The sequence below is a fragment of the Homo sapiens genome, chromosome X (genome assembly GCF_000001405.40).
Source record: "Homo sapiens chromosome X, GRCh38.p14 Primary Assembly".
Classification (NCBI taxonomy): domain Eukaryota; kingdom Metazoa; phylum Chordata; class Mammalia; order Primates; family Hominidae; genus Homo; species Homo sapiens.
In genome coordinates, this window is record NC_000023.11 from 111,165,514 (window position 1) to 111,184,486 (window position 18,973).

The window sequence follows — 18,973 nt, forward strand, 5'->3', positions numbered from 1 at the left end:
AAAGCTTACACTTTTTCCATTACCTACCTACTTTGCTTCTGCATATCCGAACTGTCTATTTTTGTAAAAAGGAAGAACTAAATGAAAGAATTGCCTCGATAATTTAAGTTCAATTATTCAGACAATTGGCACGTTTTTCTTTATTTTGCATATGTAGACATGACCTATGTGATTATATCAGATTTTAAAAATCTAACAGCCTTGCCTTAATAAAATGACTCTTATTTGGTATCTGTTTCAAATCTCAATAGATGTATTACAACAAAAATGCTTGTATAGTTTTGTTAGCTGACAGAGAAACAAGCATTATTTTCTTGGACCAAAATCTTGTTTTGCTTGTAAACTCTAGTGGTGCTAGAGCTGTGTCCTTATTATTTTGTTTATTCTGCTCTACACTGAGCAACATGGTGAAGAAGGGGAAGCTAACTTTGATTACATTTGAATTAAGAATTCAGTGGGGTTTTTTTTTTCTCTACTGGACTTCATGCTTGGGCATAGAGAGAGTCATTTTCCCTCTAGCCAGCAGGCCACTTGTGACTGCCAACCTTACATTGGATTTGTAGATTTTGGCAGGGTGAACCTGCTGAGAAGTGGAGCAGTGCTTCTCATGAAGCAGATTCAGTGAACTATACTCCAAAGTCCACAAAGGCAGACTTTCCTGCTCCTGCTCCACCATTACCCTCTCTGTGCCTTCTCTCTGCCATTACGCCTTTGTCTAAGGAAAACTTCAGACAAGTCACTTAACTCCTCTGAGCCTCAATTTTTAACCTGTGAAATGGAGATAAGAATCATAACTACATTTTTGTGAGAGATAACGTCTGGCTCTGTTACCCAGGCTGGAGTACACTGGCACAATCATGGCTCACTGCAACCTTGACCTCGTGGGCTCAAATGATCCACCTCAGCCTCCCAAGTAGCTACAATTTTAGGTGTGCGCCACCATGCCCAGCTAAATTTTTTATTTTTTGTACAGATGGGAACTTGCTGTGTTGCCCAGGCTGGTCTTGAACTCCTGAGCTCAAGCAGTCCTCCTGCCTCAACTTCCCAATGTGCTGGGATTACAGGCAGGAGCCACCAAGCCTGGCCCATTACTACATTTCAGGACTCTGTCTATAGGATGGATTTTAAGGAGCTCATCCTATGGTTAAGGGAGTCAGAAGGATCTACATTTAAATCATAGACCCATTGCTATTAGCTGTGTCACCTAGGGCCAGTTATTTAAATTTTCTGGGCCTCCATTTTCTCATCTAAAAAGTGGGGATAATGATAATATAAAAACCTCAGCAGCAGTATCAGGCACATCATAGGGGCTCAATAAGTGGTAATTGTTATTACATGGGTATAAAGCCTTCATAAGATAATACAATGGGTCAAGCTTTGAAATAAGTCATCACTGGGTCTGAGTCATAGACTTATACTAGCTGTATGTCCTTAGTCAAGTCACTTAACATCTCTGAACATAATTTTCTTCATCTGAAAGATGGAGATAATAATTGTACCCATATAATAGGGGTTGTGTGAGGACTAAATAAGTTAAAGTATATAAGACATCTAGCACAATAAACAGTAATATAAAATTGTTATTATGCTATTTTTACAGAGTGAGAGTGATCATATTTTTCAGCATAAAAATGGGGGTTTGGGGTCTTACAGTGTGACAGAATGATTGAAACCAGGAATAATCCCAGGTGTATGATTACTGTACAGAAGCCATCAAGTATCTTGGACTCAAAGGCCACATTGGAGCTTGGGGAAAAAGTAGAGCAGCCTGTGCTGAGAGGCAAAAGAGAGGAAAAAGGGAAACAGGCAGGCAGAAAGATGGCCAATATCCCATACCAGAGTGGACCTCATAAGCATGGTGAAGAGTAGATGGCAGCCTCTACTAAACCATCCTTACCTTCAGTGTCAGGGGTCCAGTTACTAAGAGGTGGGCAGCCCAGACCACAGAGCTATTCATCTTCCATGCAGATGCTGATTGTGGTGGCCAGAGCAAGAGGTCATTATTGGGTGAAATGAACAGGTCATCTTTCAGTTTTACACAGACAAATAGCCTGGGTCTGGCTTGTTCATTGTGGTCTGTCTAGATCTGTTGAAAAATACAGAAACAAGAACAGAAAACCAAACACTGCATGTTCTCACTCGTAAGTGGGAGTTGAACAATGAGAACACATGGACACAGGGAGGGGAATATCACACACCGGGGCCTGTCGGGGAGTAGGGGGCTAGGGGAGGGATAGCATTAGGAGAAATACCTAATGTAGATGACGGGTTGATAGGTGCAGCAAACCACCATGGCACCTGTATATCTGTGTAACAAAACTGCACGTTCTGCACATGTACCCCATAACTTAAAGTATAATAAAAAAGGAAACCACCACATTTTAGTGACAAATTTCAAAAGCCATTACTGTCAGTAAAGTTGTGTAATACAGGAAATTTGTCTTCAACCTCCTTCCTCTGGGCCCCACTATCACCTACTCCTTGCCTCTCACCTCCCTCAGCATTCCCCACTCAAAACCCTTTTTCCTAATTCACCCTCATATAGAACTGATATCAATTTAGAGAATCTTTTTACTTTTTCTCAGAAATCAAAATCTTCATTATGCTAAAAGGATAATCTTTTAATGGTGGGAGTTCACCTTAGCTTAATATGTCAGAAAATATATTGATGGGCTTTTCTGTCACTGAACTCATATCATGAATGCTATTTTCAAATACAAGTATTTAGCATTCTTAAAACCTGCACTTTAAAATGAATAGTTTATTTCTTCTTTAGGAAGTTCTGGTAGGAAATTGTTCTGGTATTGCTTTTTTTTCTTTTGATTTTGATTTGCTGATTTTAAAAAACTTTCTCCCTATTGTGTCACAGTGTTTTTTCTTTATCGTAATTTACAAAAGCAAATTATAATAACTAATGGAAAAGATCACTTTAAAAGCTTGTTTTGTGATTGAGAATGGTAAACAAGGCCTCTAGTATACTTGCCTAACATCAGTAGATGGCAGCACACACTCTCCTGTGAAGGGCGATGAGTGTGGAGACACCATTTTATTTGAATAGCAGTTAAGTTCAGAAGTGGAATCTCATCAAAATGGTTTCTTTTGGTAATCTTCATGAAAGGATTTATTTCCAGTTTTTTTTCCCCCTGCATAACATGGAAATAAAGGTTGAATAATTTATTACCATAAAGCCACATTAACTGAACCCCACCATTTGGAATGGGTCATAATTCAGAAAGTGGCTTGGGCTGAAGCTTTTTCTATATGGAAAAAAGTTGCTTAGCAACTTAATAGTTAAACTTTTTTAGAAGACTATAAACTGCTTAATAAAATTATGGCTTCAAGTGACTTTAAAATCGTCATTTCATTAAAATAAAAAAGTCCAGGCCCTTGCGCATTAATAGCTAATTTGAATAAGGATGGCTCTCAGTTATATAGAAATCTGTTAGACAAGTTGAAAAATAAAAGACCAACTCAGAAATTGCTAAATTGGTGGCATTCTATAGATATAGCTCAAGTAAAATATATTCTCCAACCCTTGCCTTAAACCATGGAGCATTTACAAAGGGAAATAACTAATTGTATTTTATTGTAATTCAGCAAATATATCAATATATTCTACACACGGCATTGTGTGAGGAGGCACTGAAGATACAGAGATGAATAAGACATGGCTCCTGTACTTAAAGACATAGTCTAAAAGGCAATATCAAATACCATACACACACAAAGGAACCTATGCAGATGACTGTTTAGTACAGAGAGTAACTCAGCACAAGTGTTACATTGTGACCAAGACCTTAAGTGAACCAGGAAGATCTGTGGAATTCCCGTCATGTATATCATGTACATTTCTAGCCATAGATACAACATTGAATGGATGCCAGATGATTATGAAACCCTTCAGTTCTAATTCTTACAAGTCAAAGTTCCAAATAGATAGATATAGACATCTGATATATTAAGTACAGAGAGAGAGAGAACAAGGGCGAGAGAGAGAGAGAGAAGATACAGTAGTAGCACAGAAAAGTGAAGTTGTTAATTATTCAAGGGATCAGAGAAAGCTTCCTAGAAGAGGGAACATCTAAGCTAAGTTTGGAAGCATGAATAGGAACTTGCCACAGAGAAAATATGGGAAGGACATTTCAGGCAGCGAATGGCATGTAAAGAAGACTTGAAGCATATGTCCTGGAACTCTGACTTATTCAGTGTTACTTTAATAAAGAATTGGTGGTATATGGTGATACTGGCATTGTAGAAGAGGAAACTGAACTTTTAAGCAGGAGCTGATCATGAGCTACCATTAGTTTGTTATGCTTAGAGCATAAAGTTCTAGTGGGGAAGTGGTAAATGATGAGAAGAGAATGAAGCAGGAGCCAGATTAGGAACCTTGCATTGCCAAGGAGTTTTGGCTTTCATCTGTAGGTGTTAGGGAGCTATCAAGTAATCCTGAACCAGAGAATCACATTATCAGGTCTGCACTTAGAGGATCCTGATAGAGATGTAGAGCCTTGACTAAAGAGGGCAGCAGCTAGACTAGGAGTCCAGTTAGGAGGCTGTTGGAATAACCCAGGAAAAAGATGATGGGAGCCCAACTAAAGCAGTAGTAATGAGGAAGGAACACATTCAAAAGATGTCTAGGAGGTAACAAGATATAGGCCCTTGGTGGACAACTGCACGTGGTAAGTGAAAGTAAGAGTCAATGATGACTTGCAGATTTCTGACTCAGGCTACTGAGTAGATGGATTGGCAGTACTACTGACTGATAGTGGAAATACAAAAGAAAAAGTATTATAACAACCCATATATTAGCTAAGTCTTATTTAACTTAATTTAAAAGTGAACTTTCATTAAAAAAAAAACCAACAACTTGATGAGTAATCTATGAGTGAAATGTTTAACTGATTATTTTTCTCAAGGTATACTATCTACTGCTGTTAGGTCTAAATTATGTTGTATACTAGCCCAGAGAATAGACTGTTGTGTAAATTAGCATGAAGTATTATCTGTAGCATATAATTGAGCACTTAAATACATATTTTCTTGTTCTCATTCATTTAATCAACAAATATTTGTTTAGTAGCAGCCACTGTTCTAGGCTCCAAAGTTACAGGGATGAAAGGACAAAGTTCCTGCCCTCAAGAAGCAGCATGTAAGTCTCAGTGAAATGATCAGAGAAGACTTCATAAAGGTGGATAATTTGAGATTTTATTTAAATGACAAATAAGAATTCATGGGTTAGATAGGAAAGGAAAAGGGGGAGCACATGCAAAGCCCTAAGCACTAGATAGTGATAGCATTACTAGGATATAAAGTAGTAAGGGTGGAGAAAAAGAATAATATAAAGCTAGACTGGTTAGATAGGAGCCAGATGATGCTGAAGGGTGAAGGACCTTCTCTGTCTAACTACAGAAATAGGATTTGATCCTGCAGTGGGCAGGAGCTTTTAAGGAATTATGAACAGTGGAGCAAAATCACTCTGATATAGGGTTATTGTACATCTCAGTCTGTCCAGGACAGACTCATTTTATGAATAGTATGGTCCCCCTTTTCCAAAGGCATGGTGTAAGAGGAACTAGAGAAAGCAGAGTCTATGAGTAGGTTATGACTGGCACAATTGTTTGAATAAGAAGTATTGAAAGCCCGAACAATAGCAGTGGCCATGGGCATAGAGAGAAGAGTATGAATACGAGTGACAACTAGAAGATAGAATTTACAGATCTTCTCTTGATTAGTTCATATGTGAAAATCTTGCCTTACCAACCAACTGTACACTTCTTTGTACCATGTGTTAGTAAGATATAACTCAAAGATAATAATACTGACATGTTTGCTTCCAGAAAGAAAGGTGGGCCAGAGGCCTCCAAATAAATGATGCCCTTCAAAGTATACCCTTGAGAAGCTGCACCCTTATTCCCATGATTGTTCTATAACCCCAAGATTTTTCTGGACCTATTTGAACACTGCATTGAAGAGTCAATGCCACTTCTGTGGTATTTATTCTGAGTGATAGCAAGTATTCATCCTCTGAGTGATGGACTGGATTTTTTTGAAATAGCAAAACTATTATTTTTAAAGAGCCAAACATGATAAATTAATAGTTTTCTTATGTAGCTTATAAACTTACTAAAAAAATGTTTGGAGCAATCTATAGAAACAGAAAGTAGATTAGTGGTTGCCTAGATATGTTTTGGGAACTAAGGGAAGATGGGGAGTAACTGCTAACAAGTAAGAGGTAAAAGGTTTCTTTCTGGAATAATGAAAACATTCTAAAATTAGATCATGATGACATTTACACAACTCATTAAATATGTTAAAGACATTCAATTGCACACTCTAGGTCACTGAACTTTATGGCATGTAAATCATATGTCAGTAAATCTGTTCAAATCTTTGGAGCACTAGCAGTGTCCTAGGTTTGGAAATATATGTTTTGAACATGCATGGGTCTCATTACTTTATGATCAAACTTTGTTCTTCATTAGACTCATTTCCATCCCCACACCCTTAGCACTGTACTAGGTACATAGTAATTACTCAATAGATATTTGTCCAGCAGAATTGGATATAGCATAGTGCTTAACTTCAATTCAGAGAAGACAGTGATTTTACTAAATAGTGTGGATAAGTTCTTAGATTGTTTTTTAGCGATTATACCAATTTATGTACCCACCATCAGTGTACAAGGGTTCCAATTGCTCTACATCATTGATATAACGTTTGGTATTGACAACCTTTTTAATTTTAGCCATTCTGATCGGTCTGTAGTGTTAACTCATTCTGGTTTTATTGTATATTTTCCAGAATGTTTATGAGCCTGAGCACATTTTTGTATTTTATAACTTCAACTTTTGTTATAGATTAAAGGGTACACATGCAGGTTTGTTACATGGGTAAATTGTGTGATGCTGAGGCTTGGGACTCTAATGATGCCTTCACCTAGGCAGTGAGCATACTACCCAATAGGTAGTTCTTCAGCCCTTCTCCCTCTCCTCTCCTGCCTAGTGATCCCCAGTGTTTATTGTTCCTATCTTTATACTCGTGTGTATTCATTGTTTAGCTCCCACTTATAAGCGACAACATGCAGTATTTGGTTTTCTTTTCTTGCATTTGTTTGCTTAGGTTCATGACCTCCAGCTCCATCCCTTTCTTAGATTTTTTTTATATCCTAATATATAGTATTATGAGAACTTTTTATAGATGTTGGGTTGTGACAAGTTTTTTTTGTTTTCCAAATATCAGTAATTTTGAATATAAGCAAAATGGGTTATTATTACTACTTTAATTACTATAAAACTATTTGTTATTTTAATAAGTAGAAAGTATCATTTTTATGTAAATTATAGAAATCCCATGGGAGTATTTGTCTAATGTTTTATTTGTCACTGACTCTGGCATCTTAATTTTCATTATTAAATTAAAAAACAGTCAATCAATTTCTATTTCTCTCTCTCTCTCTCTCTCTTCCACCTCCTCCTCTTTTCTTCTCTCCCCACCCATCTCTTAGGAAGCATTGTGAGTGTTGGGGACCCAAAGAAAAAATACACAAGATTTGAAAAAATTGGTCAAGGGTAAGTGATTGTTATTTGAAATATAAAAAGATGAGTACAAGCAACATACATTAAAATTAAAATTCAGTAAGAGCTTGGGTTTCTGGTAAATTATGCTTCTCATTTCCTAGATTATATTTATGTCTTGCATTCTCAGTATTGGCCTTTCAGGGGGAGTGCTGACAACAGTTACAACATTAACCTAGGAACACATCCTGCTGAAATCTTCATTATTGTTGGGCTGACAGTAAATTCTGTGTGGACATTTTGATCCTATGTAGTTAGAAGATTCAAACAGATTTCTCTAGAAAAAGCAGTAGGGTTATGGAAACTTCTAGCTTACGTAAAAACCCCCTTTATCGCAGTTCCCCCTACAGCCACATGGATGGTATGATTAAGATCCTGTTTTATTGTCAAAATGTGGAGTGACAAACTGAGGGTGGGGAATGTCCTTATGGAATGATCCGGAGGTAGGCAGAGTTGACTATCTGAGTATGGAGGAAACAGACAATAATCCCTAAATGAGACCTAGTGCATCATTTTCACTTAATATACTTGTTAAAGATAAAGATTCCCAGGCCCCACTGCCAAAGATTTGATTTAGAGTCTGGAGTGGGGTTCAGTGATCTGAACTTTGCAAAAGTCCCTCAGATAATCCTGATAATCAGCAATACATGGGTACCATTGCATTAGATTATTCACTAAAGCTGAAGGCAGGAGTCACCAGTTCTGCAAGTCAACTGTACTAATGCATGTCTCTCAGGCCTCAAAGTGAAACTAGGCAGGTGGATCTGAGCAGGCAACAGCATTTGAAACAGGGAAAAGTTTTATTTAAAGGAAAATGGAATATTCTTAAGGGACATCCTTAAATGAGGAGTGAGACACATATTCAGGGACACCAACTACTGTATGTCAGAAACAAAGATGGCACCTCAGACTTTTCCTGGCTGAGGCAAGGGGCTGAAGACAAAGGGTTACAGCCAATATGCTTGCAAAACTGTGCTAGCCGATCAGCCATTAGAATCTAATTATTTTAGGGTAAGAGAAGGTAGAATTTCTTCAAGAACCACACTGCTTTTCCTGGCATACTTAGGTTCAAAAAAGTATACATCATATATAAGCTTGACTATTTTTCATGATTTTATATTTTCTTTGTTTTTCCCCCTAGCTTTTGTACTAAAGTTTCTTTTGAAATTGCCAGTATATCTCAGGAAATAAGGGAAAGCATTCATTAGACGTTTGGGCTAGAGAAAAGGAGAGGCACTCATGGAAACTGTGCCTGGTGGGAATCAAGATGAGAAGACCCTAAGGGGGACAGAAACTCAGGAAGAAATGCATGGCCAAGTTTATTCTTCCAGTCAAAACCATAATGACATTGTATTTGAACTTTCCAGGGGGCTAAAATATATTCTCATTTGCTCACAAAAAAGAAGAGTTTTATGGTCTCTAGAAGCTTCCTGTCACCGAATGGGTCAAATTAATATTTCTACTCATTGTTCTAAAACAGTGATAAACAACAGAACTTACTGTGATGATAGAGATGTTCTATATCTGTGCTGTCTAATATGGTAGCCACTGGCTATGTGTGGCTATGGGGCACTTGGAATGTGGGTAGTGCACATAAGAAACTGAATTTATGTGAACTCATTTATTTGTTTAGCAGATATTTCTTGAGCACTAACTATGTTCCAGGCACTATGCTAAGTGCTAGAGAGACAGAGATGGGTAATGATGGTGTGGGCCCTCAAGGAACTTACAGTTTACACTGATAAGTGCTTGACAGAGGGATACAGGGTACCAGAAGAACCTAGAGGCAAGCTTACTCAATTCAACCAAGTATAGAGCAGGGCCAGCTTCTAGAGCCGTTTTCTCCCACCGGGAATTTTCCCTGTCTACTTCTGGTGGACTTGTTGTTTTGCTTAAGTAAGAAACCTATACCTTCCCAAGTCTATATACAGACCTCAGCTCTCCTTCTTCATGCCTAAAGGGTAAATACCACCAGACAGATTGCAAAAAGACAGTATTATGTACTAAAGGGACTTAGAAAACAAAAGTTGGCTTTTAGATTTCATTTTCATCTGGATGAGTCTCAGGTGGAGCTAACAATAGGAAGGGAAGGGATATTCAATCCACTTAGAAATAGCACTCCAAATCATTGTTGTCCAGTATGGTGGCCAGTAACCACATTTGGCTACTGAGCACTTGAAATGTGGCTAGTCCAAATGGAAATGTACTTAAGTATAAAAGGCACACCTGATTTCAAAACCTTAGTATGAAAAAATAATGTAAAGTATCTCATTAATATATTTTTTATTGATTACATGTTGGGAAATTTTGCATACATTGGATTAAAGAAAATATATTATGAAAATTAATTTCACCTTTTAAAAACTTTATGTAACTCTAAGAAATTTTAAATATGGCTCGTGGCTCATGTTATATTTCTAATAGGCAGTAATGCTCTAGTTGTAGCCTTAACTGGGAGTTATTTGTTTATTAATTCGTAAAGTGTTTTTCCATGGTTGTTTTTTGGAGAGTGGGAGATGTTATAATTTTGTCTTGATTGTTCCAACTAAAGGCCAACTGAGCCAAAAATAGCATTGAATTTTAAAAGGAAAAAGTACAAGATGGTTTCAGATACCTCCCAGATACTAGGTAATGAAACAAGACTAATTTTGCCAAGAACAAAGATCAGGCCACCAAGCAACTTTGTGTAACAAAGAGATTTCCTCTCTTGGCTATTATTTATGCCTGTGACTTTTAAAGATGAAAAGGAAAGTTCTCTATCTCTGAGTCTCTTTGTACAGTCTTCACAACCTAAAATGAAAAAATCGAAGCATAAATCCTGCTTGCCACTGCAGAAAGGTCTATTTTAAATTCCCAGCAAGTTCATCATTTTAAAGAATGATAAAGTAGCAGATAGTTCACTCATAGGCCCAACACAACTTTTTAATACATCCTTAGAGGGTATGGAGTCAATTGTATTCCTACTTTTGTCTTCTTTAGTGTTTAGCACAGTGCTTTTGCACTTAGTAGGCCCTCTGAAATAATTTTGTGCAGTTATGATCAACAGCTGGGTTCACTTTGGCCAGATTCAAAGAACTGCAAAGCTGTCTGCCAACTCCGTCTCTGTGGGTCTGTTTTTGCCTCAATAAATATTTGTTGAGCTAATGAAAATGTTTGTCTTTCCACTGCATCTTCTCACTCGTAAGTGGGAGTTGAACAATGAGAACATATGGACATGGAGGGGAACAACACACACTGGGGCCAGAAGGGGAATGGGGGGCGAAGGGAGTGAGAGCATTAGGACGAATAGCCAATGCATGCGGGGCTTAAAACCTAGATGATGAGTTCATAGGTGCAGCAAACCACCATGGCACACATATACCTAAGTAATAAACCTGCACGTCCTGCACTTGTATCCCAGAACTTAAAGTAAAATTAAAAAAATAAAAAAGAAAATGTTTGTCTTTCTAGCTATCTCTTTCCTCTGTCCTCTGTATTTACATGTGTATATACATGCCTATCTTGCTCCTCCTGTGTCTGTCTTTCCCTGTTTTTCCTCAGTGTGTCTTCACATTTTTGTCTTTCACAATGACTTGATTGGCCTCACCACATCTGATTCCTTTATTCTCTGGGTATTTGTGTGTGCTGCATATCTGTCTTCTTCAAGCATGTTGGCCTTACATTCTACTGCCCATTTTCACACACACCCCACAACCCAAATTGTCATAATATAAAATCAAGATGTATTTAAGATATAATCTGCCGGCTTAAATCTATTTACTATGATTTTATCATTTACTTAATTTACTAATTTTATTTTTTTGATCTTAGTAGATTGTTTTTCCTCAGTTCTTAATTATTAAAGTAAAGCAAAATATTGACTTTTTTCTTTCTGGACCAAAAAAAAAAAAAAAACCCACCTCCCACTTATATTAACTTTCTTTTTACTTAAATGGCTTTCAACTGATTTTTTTTTCATTAATTACTGGCCTAAGTTATATAAACTAGTAGTCTCTACTCTCAATATGTAGAGTTTTTTAAAATTAAATCTGTGTTTTTAATTGTTTTTGCCTTACCTATTATTACAGTGACATTCAAAATTGTTGTCAATAATCATTTGGTGTTAGGGATAATCAGCCCCAGTATTTTATTCTCAGCTCCAGAGAGCACAACAGTTCACTCACTCTCAGGAGCTGGATTTGAGAAGAGCTTCTCCATTAATCACCTTCATTTACTTGGAAAACTAAATTTTTTCTCCAGCATGGGTTTCTGCCATCCCAGCATTCAGGCCTGGGGCCAGAGAATTGGGCTCCATCTTCCATAAATCAAGTTCAGAATCACATGTCTAATCGTTTGAGGCCATATCTGTGAGTTGAAGGCTAAAAATGACATTGTTTCACTGGGTTTGCTGTGAAAAGTGTTCTATAATTGGCTACCAAATCCAGACATTTTGAGCAAATTTATGCAAAGTTAAAAAATAAGGAAAGAAAGAAAAAAAGTCAGGTACCCCAAAATTATCATTAACTCAACAACATGAGTTTGTCAGAAATATATCCGGTGCGCACTTGAGAATCTTCACTTTCTAGAATAGTTATATAAAATAACTTGTTTAATAAATGAGGTAGAGTGAGACAACAAAGTCAAATATTTATTTTCAGTCAACAGCTATCAATAGCAACCCTGTGTAATTCCTGAATAAGCAATAGCTATGTAACAGAGGGCTGAATTTACAATGTTGGCAGCTGTCCTCACAGATTTCTCATTAATGTATTTGAATTCATGTTAGGGTCTTTCCTTAAATGAGAATGCACTGAAAAACAGGCCTTTTTTTCTCTTTCAGGTTCATATTGTCTTTTCTCTTCAACATTATAATAGAAAAATATTTTTGAGGAAGCAGCTCAGAGGATCCAGTTTAACAAGTATATTTTTAACATCAATGAACCTTTAATGAGTGCCTACTATGTGTAATGGAGAGTAGCAGTTAAGAATCAGGTTCTCAGAGTTCACAGTGACCTCTATACTTGTGGTCCCCCTGAATACTGGACATGGAGAAGAGTTATATCAAGAAATAAGATGAACACCTACCCCCAATAATGTACCTTTCCTCTATATTTTATTCATACACTCATCTTCACTGTCATCTCTCATATGAATCACTCTTTGGCTGGCCTGGTCCTAATTGACCTTTTCTGTCTTTTGTTTTTCTGAATCCTACAGATTATATCTGTGCCGGCATGTATTCACCACTTATATCTTAGCTTGTCTAGACATGTAAAATTGCTTGAAACTTTGAGGAATGTAGAGGAATAAAGGGAGAATTTTTGAAAAACTTGAAGAAAAAGAAAGAGACAGGATTCTGAACTCAGGGCTGTAGAAAAATTATTTAATTTCTTTAAGCATCAGTTTTCTCTTTCATAGTAAGCAGAATGCACGTATCTCATAAGGTTGTAAAAATAAATAAGAGAAGGCATTTAAAGTCCTTAGCACAGTACATGGCACATAGTTAATTGCTCAGTAAATGCTAGTTATTATTAGGGATGAAAGACACACTCATATGTTGCTATTATATAGAACAGAATATAATAAGTATTGTGAAGAAATTACAAAGATCTCTGTGGACAGAGAGGAGGGACAAATTATTTACAGCCAAGGAGTGGGTATGATGGATTCTTAGAAGAGGGTACACTTGAGAGTGACATTAGAGGGTATAGGAATTTAACAAGTAGGGTTTATAAGAAGTTTTGTTTGAATGCTTACTTCAGACTGTAGGTTTCATTCACTTTGGTATCCCTAAGGTCTGCAACACTGCCCCAGCATATATGCTCAAATATAAGGTAACACAATAAGATAATTTTAAAAAGTTTTTTGATGCACCTGCATACATAAACTGTTTTATATATATATATATATATATAGAGAGAGAGATATCTGTATATCTATATATCTATATATATATATATATATATGGTTGAAAGTCTACTTATGATGTTTGTTAATTTACTTTCATTTTCATATTTAAAACCACTTATATAAAGTATTATTTTGTAGAGATTTTTCTACTCTCATATTTCACGAGTGGTATAATTCAAAATCTTCTTATGTGTCTTTAACATCATTCTTTTTGTAATCACTAGAGATTATTTTTGAGTCTTCCAGCAGTTACTCAAATATATTACCTGACTTCCATCTAAGATATTTGAGATTTTGAACCCACATATAATTCTGTTCGTGGATATTTATTCCTAGTCACAATTACCCATTCATATAACATTAAGACTATTGTTTTTTGAATTTGTCCTGTAGGTGTATATTTAGGTCTTCATGACATATATCTACTATCTACTATATGACTTTTTAAAATTTCTATTACAAATTGTCATACTTACACAAAAATAGGGAAAATAACACAGGAACTACTGTATTCTTATCACTCATATTAAATATTTATCAACAATTTTTAATAAAATCACAATGCCATTACATCTACAAACAATTAACAATTGCTTCATATCATTTAACTCCCAGTCTATAATCAGAATTCTCCACTTGCAACAAAACGCTATTTTTATAATTGATTTGTTCAAATCAACATCCAAAGGAGATCTACATATTGCATTTGTTGTATATCGTAAGTCTGTATACCCTGAAGCAGTCTCCTTTCTTTTTCCACTACCATTATCTTGTTGAAGAAACTGGTTATTGCCTTGTAAAATGTGGCACTTTCTGTATTTGTCTGTTAGTTTCATTAGCTGTCATTTAACTTGCTCTTCTAACTTCCACCTCTGGGATTCAGGGGATTCTCTTGCCTCAGCCTCTCGAGTAACTGGGATTACAGGCGTGTGTCACCATGCCCGGCTAATTTTGTATTTTTAGTAGATACGGGGTTTCACCATGTTGGCCAGGCTGGTCTTGAACTCCTGACCTCAAGTGATCCACCCACCTCAGCCTCCCAAAGTGCTGGGATTACATATGAGAGCCACCATGCCTGGCCAGATGCTTGCTTTTTTAATTGCCAGCTTTCATTGTAAAGAGTTAGCATGGAGTTACATACGAAAGTGTTCAATGAGGGGTATTTTGATATTTTTAGTAGGGAAATTTTATTAAGTATCTTTATAAAGTCTTACAATTTTACATTGTCAATATGTTTCACTGAGTTGCATCTATTATTGTTTATGGTGGTCAAACTATTCCATCTTTAGCTAATGGGAGACCCTTTCACTGCATTAGTTTTGACAGAGGTCTTTTAATAGCTTGTTTACGACATCCAACACTTGCAGTTATGTGGTCATACCCTCCAAAATAACTTATTCACATCCTTTCTTTGTAATTCTGACAGGTACTCTCTATGAGCATCCAAAACTAGCATTAATTGAGAAGATATCAACCTAATATGTCCTTTCCAAACTGTATTTTATAGTTAAAAATAAATGAATATGGATAAGTACCAATCACATGAAAGATTTTTATAAGAACTTGCATATAAGGCAGCTCCATTTTTATGAGGAAAAATTGGGAGGAGAAAACCCTTATCTTGTATTTGGGTATATATGGTGCATTTCTGTGCATGCATGTATGTTTGTTGTAGGTATATTTTTAGCACAAGTGGTAACATACTATATATCTCCTTTTTTATTGTGTTTCTGTGTTTTAGAGATGGTTCTATGCTTGTACCTCATACTTTTTAAACAGATGCAGTGCTTTGTTATTTGAATAGTACCATAATTTATTGAACTAGGCCCTAAATGGACATAGACATTTAATTTGTTTTTGATGTTTTGCTATTATAAACAAGGCTTCTGTGAAGATCCTTACAAATAAACCATTTTATACAAAGTTATCATTAGAATAGATTCCTAAAAGTGGAATTGTTATGTAAAAGGATATGTGCATTTTTCTTTCTGAGTTACCCTCCTTAGAGGTTTGTTTATTTAACACACCATCAATAATGTATGAGAGTGCCGGTTTGCCTGCACCTTTGCCAACACAGCTGTATTCACTTATTTGGGATTATAGTCGTATAATAAAAACACTCCCACACTGACTTTTTTAAAAAGGAAAATAAATAAGAAAGGAACTCTAACAAGAAAGCATGTGGCAAAACAAAAGGCTATCCTGAAGAATTAATTAGCCAATGTAGTCCATGTCTTTATAATGCCAAAGTATCTTTGTTACATGTTATATCTCTCCATAGGTTAGATTAGCTATGCAGCTATGTTTGACAGAAAGTGACAATGAGAGCATTTCTTGAAATCATTTTTCTCTTACACGTAGATATATATCTGGGCAAAGGAATTTTGTCTAACATCTGGATCTTTGTCAATCATATCATTATATAGAATGATGATATGTTCAATTCATCAATAATTGCTAACAAATTTTGCTACTAGCTCATGCGTAATCAAGCCCTCAGTCCCCCCCGTCTCTCTAAATTAGTTTTAGTTTTAAGACTACAGAAACTAAGTATATAATGTTAGGTATTTTTCAGACTTATCTCTGCTACTCAGTGAGAAGCCCCTTTCTTCTTAATCTAACATGAAAGTCTCATATTGAAGATGAATAGCTTTGAAACTTATTTCTTAAAAGACTTGTTGAATAACAGTGTCGTTTAGAGAACCTGACAAAGCAGTGTATGCCATGGAACTCAGAGTGCTGAGAATAAAACCTCTGATTTTTTTTTTTTTTTTGGTTGTTCAGGAAACTATGGGCAAGAGTGGTGTCTAGTGTGCTTATAGAAGTGATTCTTTGGGTAGGACCACCCACCCCAAAAGTATTTGCTTCTTCATCGGATCTATTTTGGGCCACACAAGGTAGAACGCTGCTATGAAGCACTAAATAGATGTAGTCTGAGTTCTATAAAAGGCTTTGTGATGTAGGAGATTGGAAATACATTAGCATTTGTGAAGAACAATGTTTATGGAGCAATGGAAGATGCTCTTTGTTCTACTTAATGCTCTTAAATGCACTGTGTTGTGTGCTGTCCCTTGTAAAGAAAGATGATGCCACTCAATCAAACACCATTAGCAGAGTTTGCACGTTAACTTGTTTTTTCCAGCCACAGTAATGAGCTTGTTTTAAGCCACCTGCCCCCCTTTCCTGTCCAGGCCTCTTGAATCCAATGGCACACACTGTGAAACAGCTGCTTAGATTTAATGTTGGAGTGAGTAGCCGAGAGTTATCTGGCCTTTCCAGGGATTAAGCCTTGTAATTGTGGCCTCATTATCACTGGACTATAACCCACCGAGCTCCCTGGCCCCACACCCATAATGTGTTACAGCTCTCTTTAAAATTAGATGACCGTGAATACTCTGAGAAAAGTCATGCCCTAGCTAAAGAACAGAAAATTCCGTGTTCTGATTTATAATCTTAGTAATTAAAGACTATACCATCTGGCCCCAGCTACATTCTGTGTACTTAGAGCAGTACTGAGATAACATGATTTTTACATAATTTTCTTTTTTAAATTTAGGGATGCATTTTTTAGAAGTAAATTACACAAAGGAAAACGCCAGAACTCTGTCTTTGGAAAAGTTATTGCATGTGATGGTAACATCATTCCTGAGCCCCAAAGAACACATCTCTCAACAAAACAAGTAACTATATGGTAGTATCAAACTATATATATACAGATATATATAGATATATAATCTGTTTTTATGTCAGGTGCGTTAGTATAGTGAGACAATATCTAGATAGGAGCCTACAAGTAGTAACTTTTTTAATATTCAGCAAAAGATAAAGTCTATTTCTAAAAACTAACAGCAGTTCATTTTCAGCCACATGATCAATCTTAATTGAGTCGGCAAACAGAACAACAACTTGTGTGTGGTTATACCAAAGGAATAAAACATACCATGTCCTGGTACAAACTAAATGGCTTGTGGACAAAGTGAGTAGAAAATTAAAGGCAAGATAAACATTTTGGGGAGGCGGCTTAGCATAACAGGTACAAACATGAGCTTTGGGAAGTACCACACTTGCACTTAGCACTGAGGTAAAAATGCTAAAGATCTATAGCAAAACATGAAATGGTGATTAAGAGCATGGGCTGTGGAGAGAAAGTAATGCATTTTTAAGCTCAGCTGCTGATTGTGCAACCTTAGGCAACCTACTTAACATTTCTTTGTTTCAATGTCCTCATTTGCAAAGTGAGGAAAATCTAATTTATCTCATAGAGTTGTACAGGGTGGGCATTAAGTGAGATCATTACAGAGAGCTGCAGAGAGTATGGCTCAATAAGTGAAATAGCCTTTTTATAGCAGCAGCAGCAATAGGAATACATGTAAAAAAAATAACCATTCTATATGGGGTTTAATCCTTGACTATGACCTCATTAGCACCAGATTTATATTTGTAAAACCTTAATGGGAATTTTGCCTATCTTTCTGGCTCCCTCATTCTTATTCCTACCAGATTCTTCTTGGACTTCATTGAGCCTTTAGACCTCTTGCCCTTTTTGTTTTCTCCCAGTATATGAGCTTCTTCCTAGGCTCACTTCTTCACCCTTCTTTTCCTCTAATCCATTTCCATGCTGAAATCAAAGTGACTTATCTAAATTATTAGTCCTACCATGTTGCTACTTTTACAACTACTCATGATTATGGCTTGACATTGGCACTTGGTGGGAAACATCAAAACCTGGTCAAGATTCCTGATAATGAAACTGACCTGCTTTATGAGGAAAAGGGAGAATTGTGAATTGTTTCTTTCTGGACCCTTCAGGCTAGATGCCAGTGTTTCCATTTGAGTAGTAAGCGCTTGGCCATGTCAGGGAGAGACTGTTGACAAAGCATCTAATGTGATGCCAAGAACCCAGATGTACTTATCGCATTTTAATTGATGATGGGTCCCAATGGTTGAGAAATCTGTTGGTTTAGTATTCTTTAATCATAGTATAGTTAACTGAAAGATCTCTAACTTCAAGTTAGGAGACCTTTGTTACTTACTTGCTATGTTATCATGGGCCTATCCTTCCTGCTTTCTGGGCTTCAGATTTCTCATTTGTAATGAGGAAGTTAAACTGGATGTTCTCTATTTTCCTTTGAGTCCTGATAATGCATGATTACTTTGTACTATCTGAGGGATTGAGATTTGGAATAAAAACAATACCTATCATAAAAGCATGTTCTTCCTACAGGAATCTGGCTTTAATATAACTGGAATGGAGTGATAATAGGGATCAATGTAATTAAATGTTTAGCATAAAAATCAAATTGACAGTGTTGCCCATTTTAGCACACCAGACCCAATACACTGGAGAATTAGGAATTTTAACCCCTATCTTTGTTAGTTTGAGTTTTGGCATCTTTACATCCTATAGTGCTGCGTGACACTGACTTTTTTTTTTTTAATTATACTTTAAGTTCTGGGATACGTGTGCAGAACGTGCAGGTTTGTTACATAGGTATACACATGCCATGGTG

The 18,973-nt window shown here is 36.4% G+C and overlaps 1 protein-coding gene and 1 pseudogene across 36 annotated transcripts in view; both read left to right on the plus strand.

Moving 5' to 3' along the window:
- The window catches only part of PAK3 (p21 (RAC1) activated kinase 3), a 282,965-nt gene that overhangs the window by 221,117 nt on the left and 42,875 nt on the right, over positions 1 to 18,973 (plus strand). For 35 of the 36 annotated variants that reach the window (NR_136747.2, NR_136748.1, XM_047442148.1 and 32 more), the window contains one exon: positions 7,505 to 7,568. Coding sequence is in view for 34 of the 36 variants with exons in the window: in XM_047442148.1 (XP_047298104.1) it covers positions 7,505 to 7,568 (64 nt within the window). In the remaining 2 variants the exon portion in view is untranslated. Of the gene's footprint in view, positions 1 to 7,504; positions 7,569 to 17,019; positions 18,893 to 18,973 lie in introns of those variants that run through there. The other variant, XM_011530971.3, reaches the window with a different exon arrangement.
- On the plus strand, positions 3,708 to 3,890 carry FCF1P4 (FCF1 pseudogene 4; annotated as a pseudogene).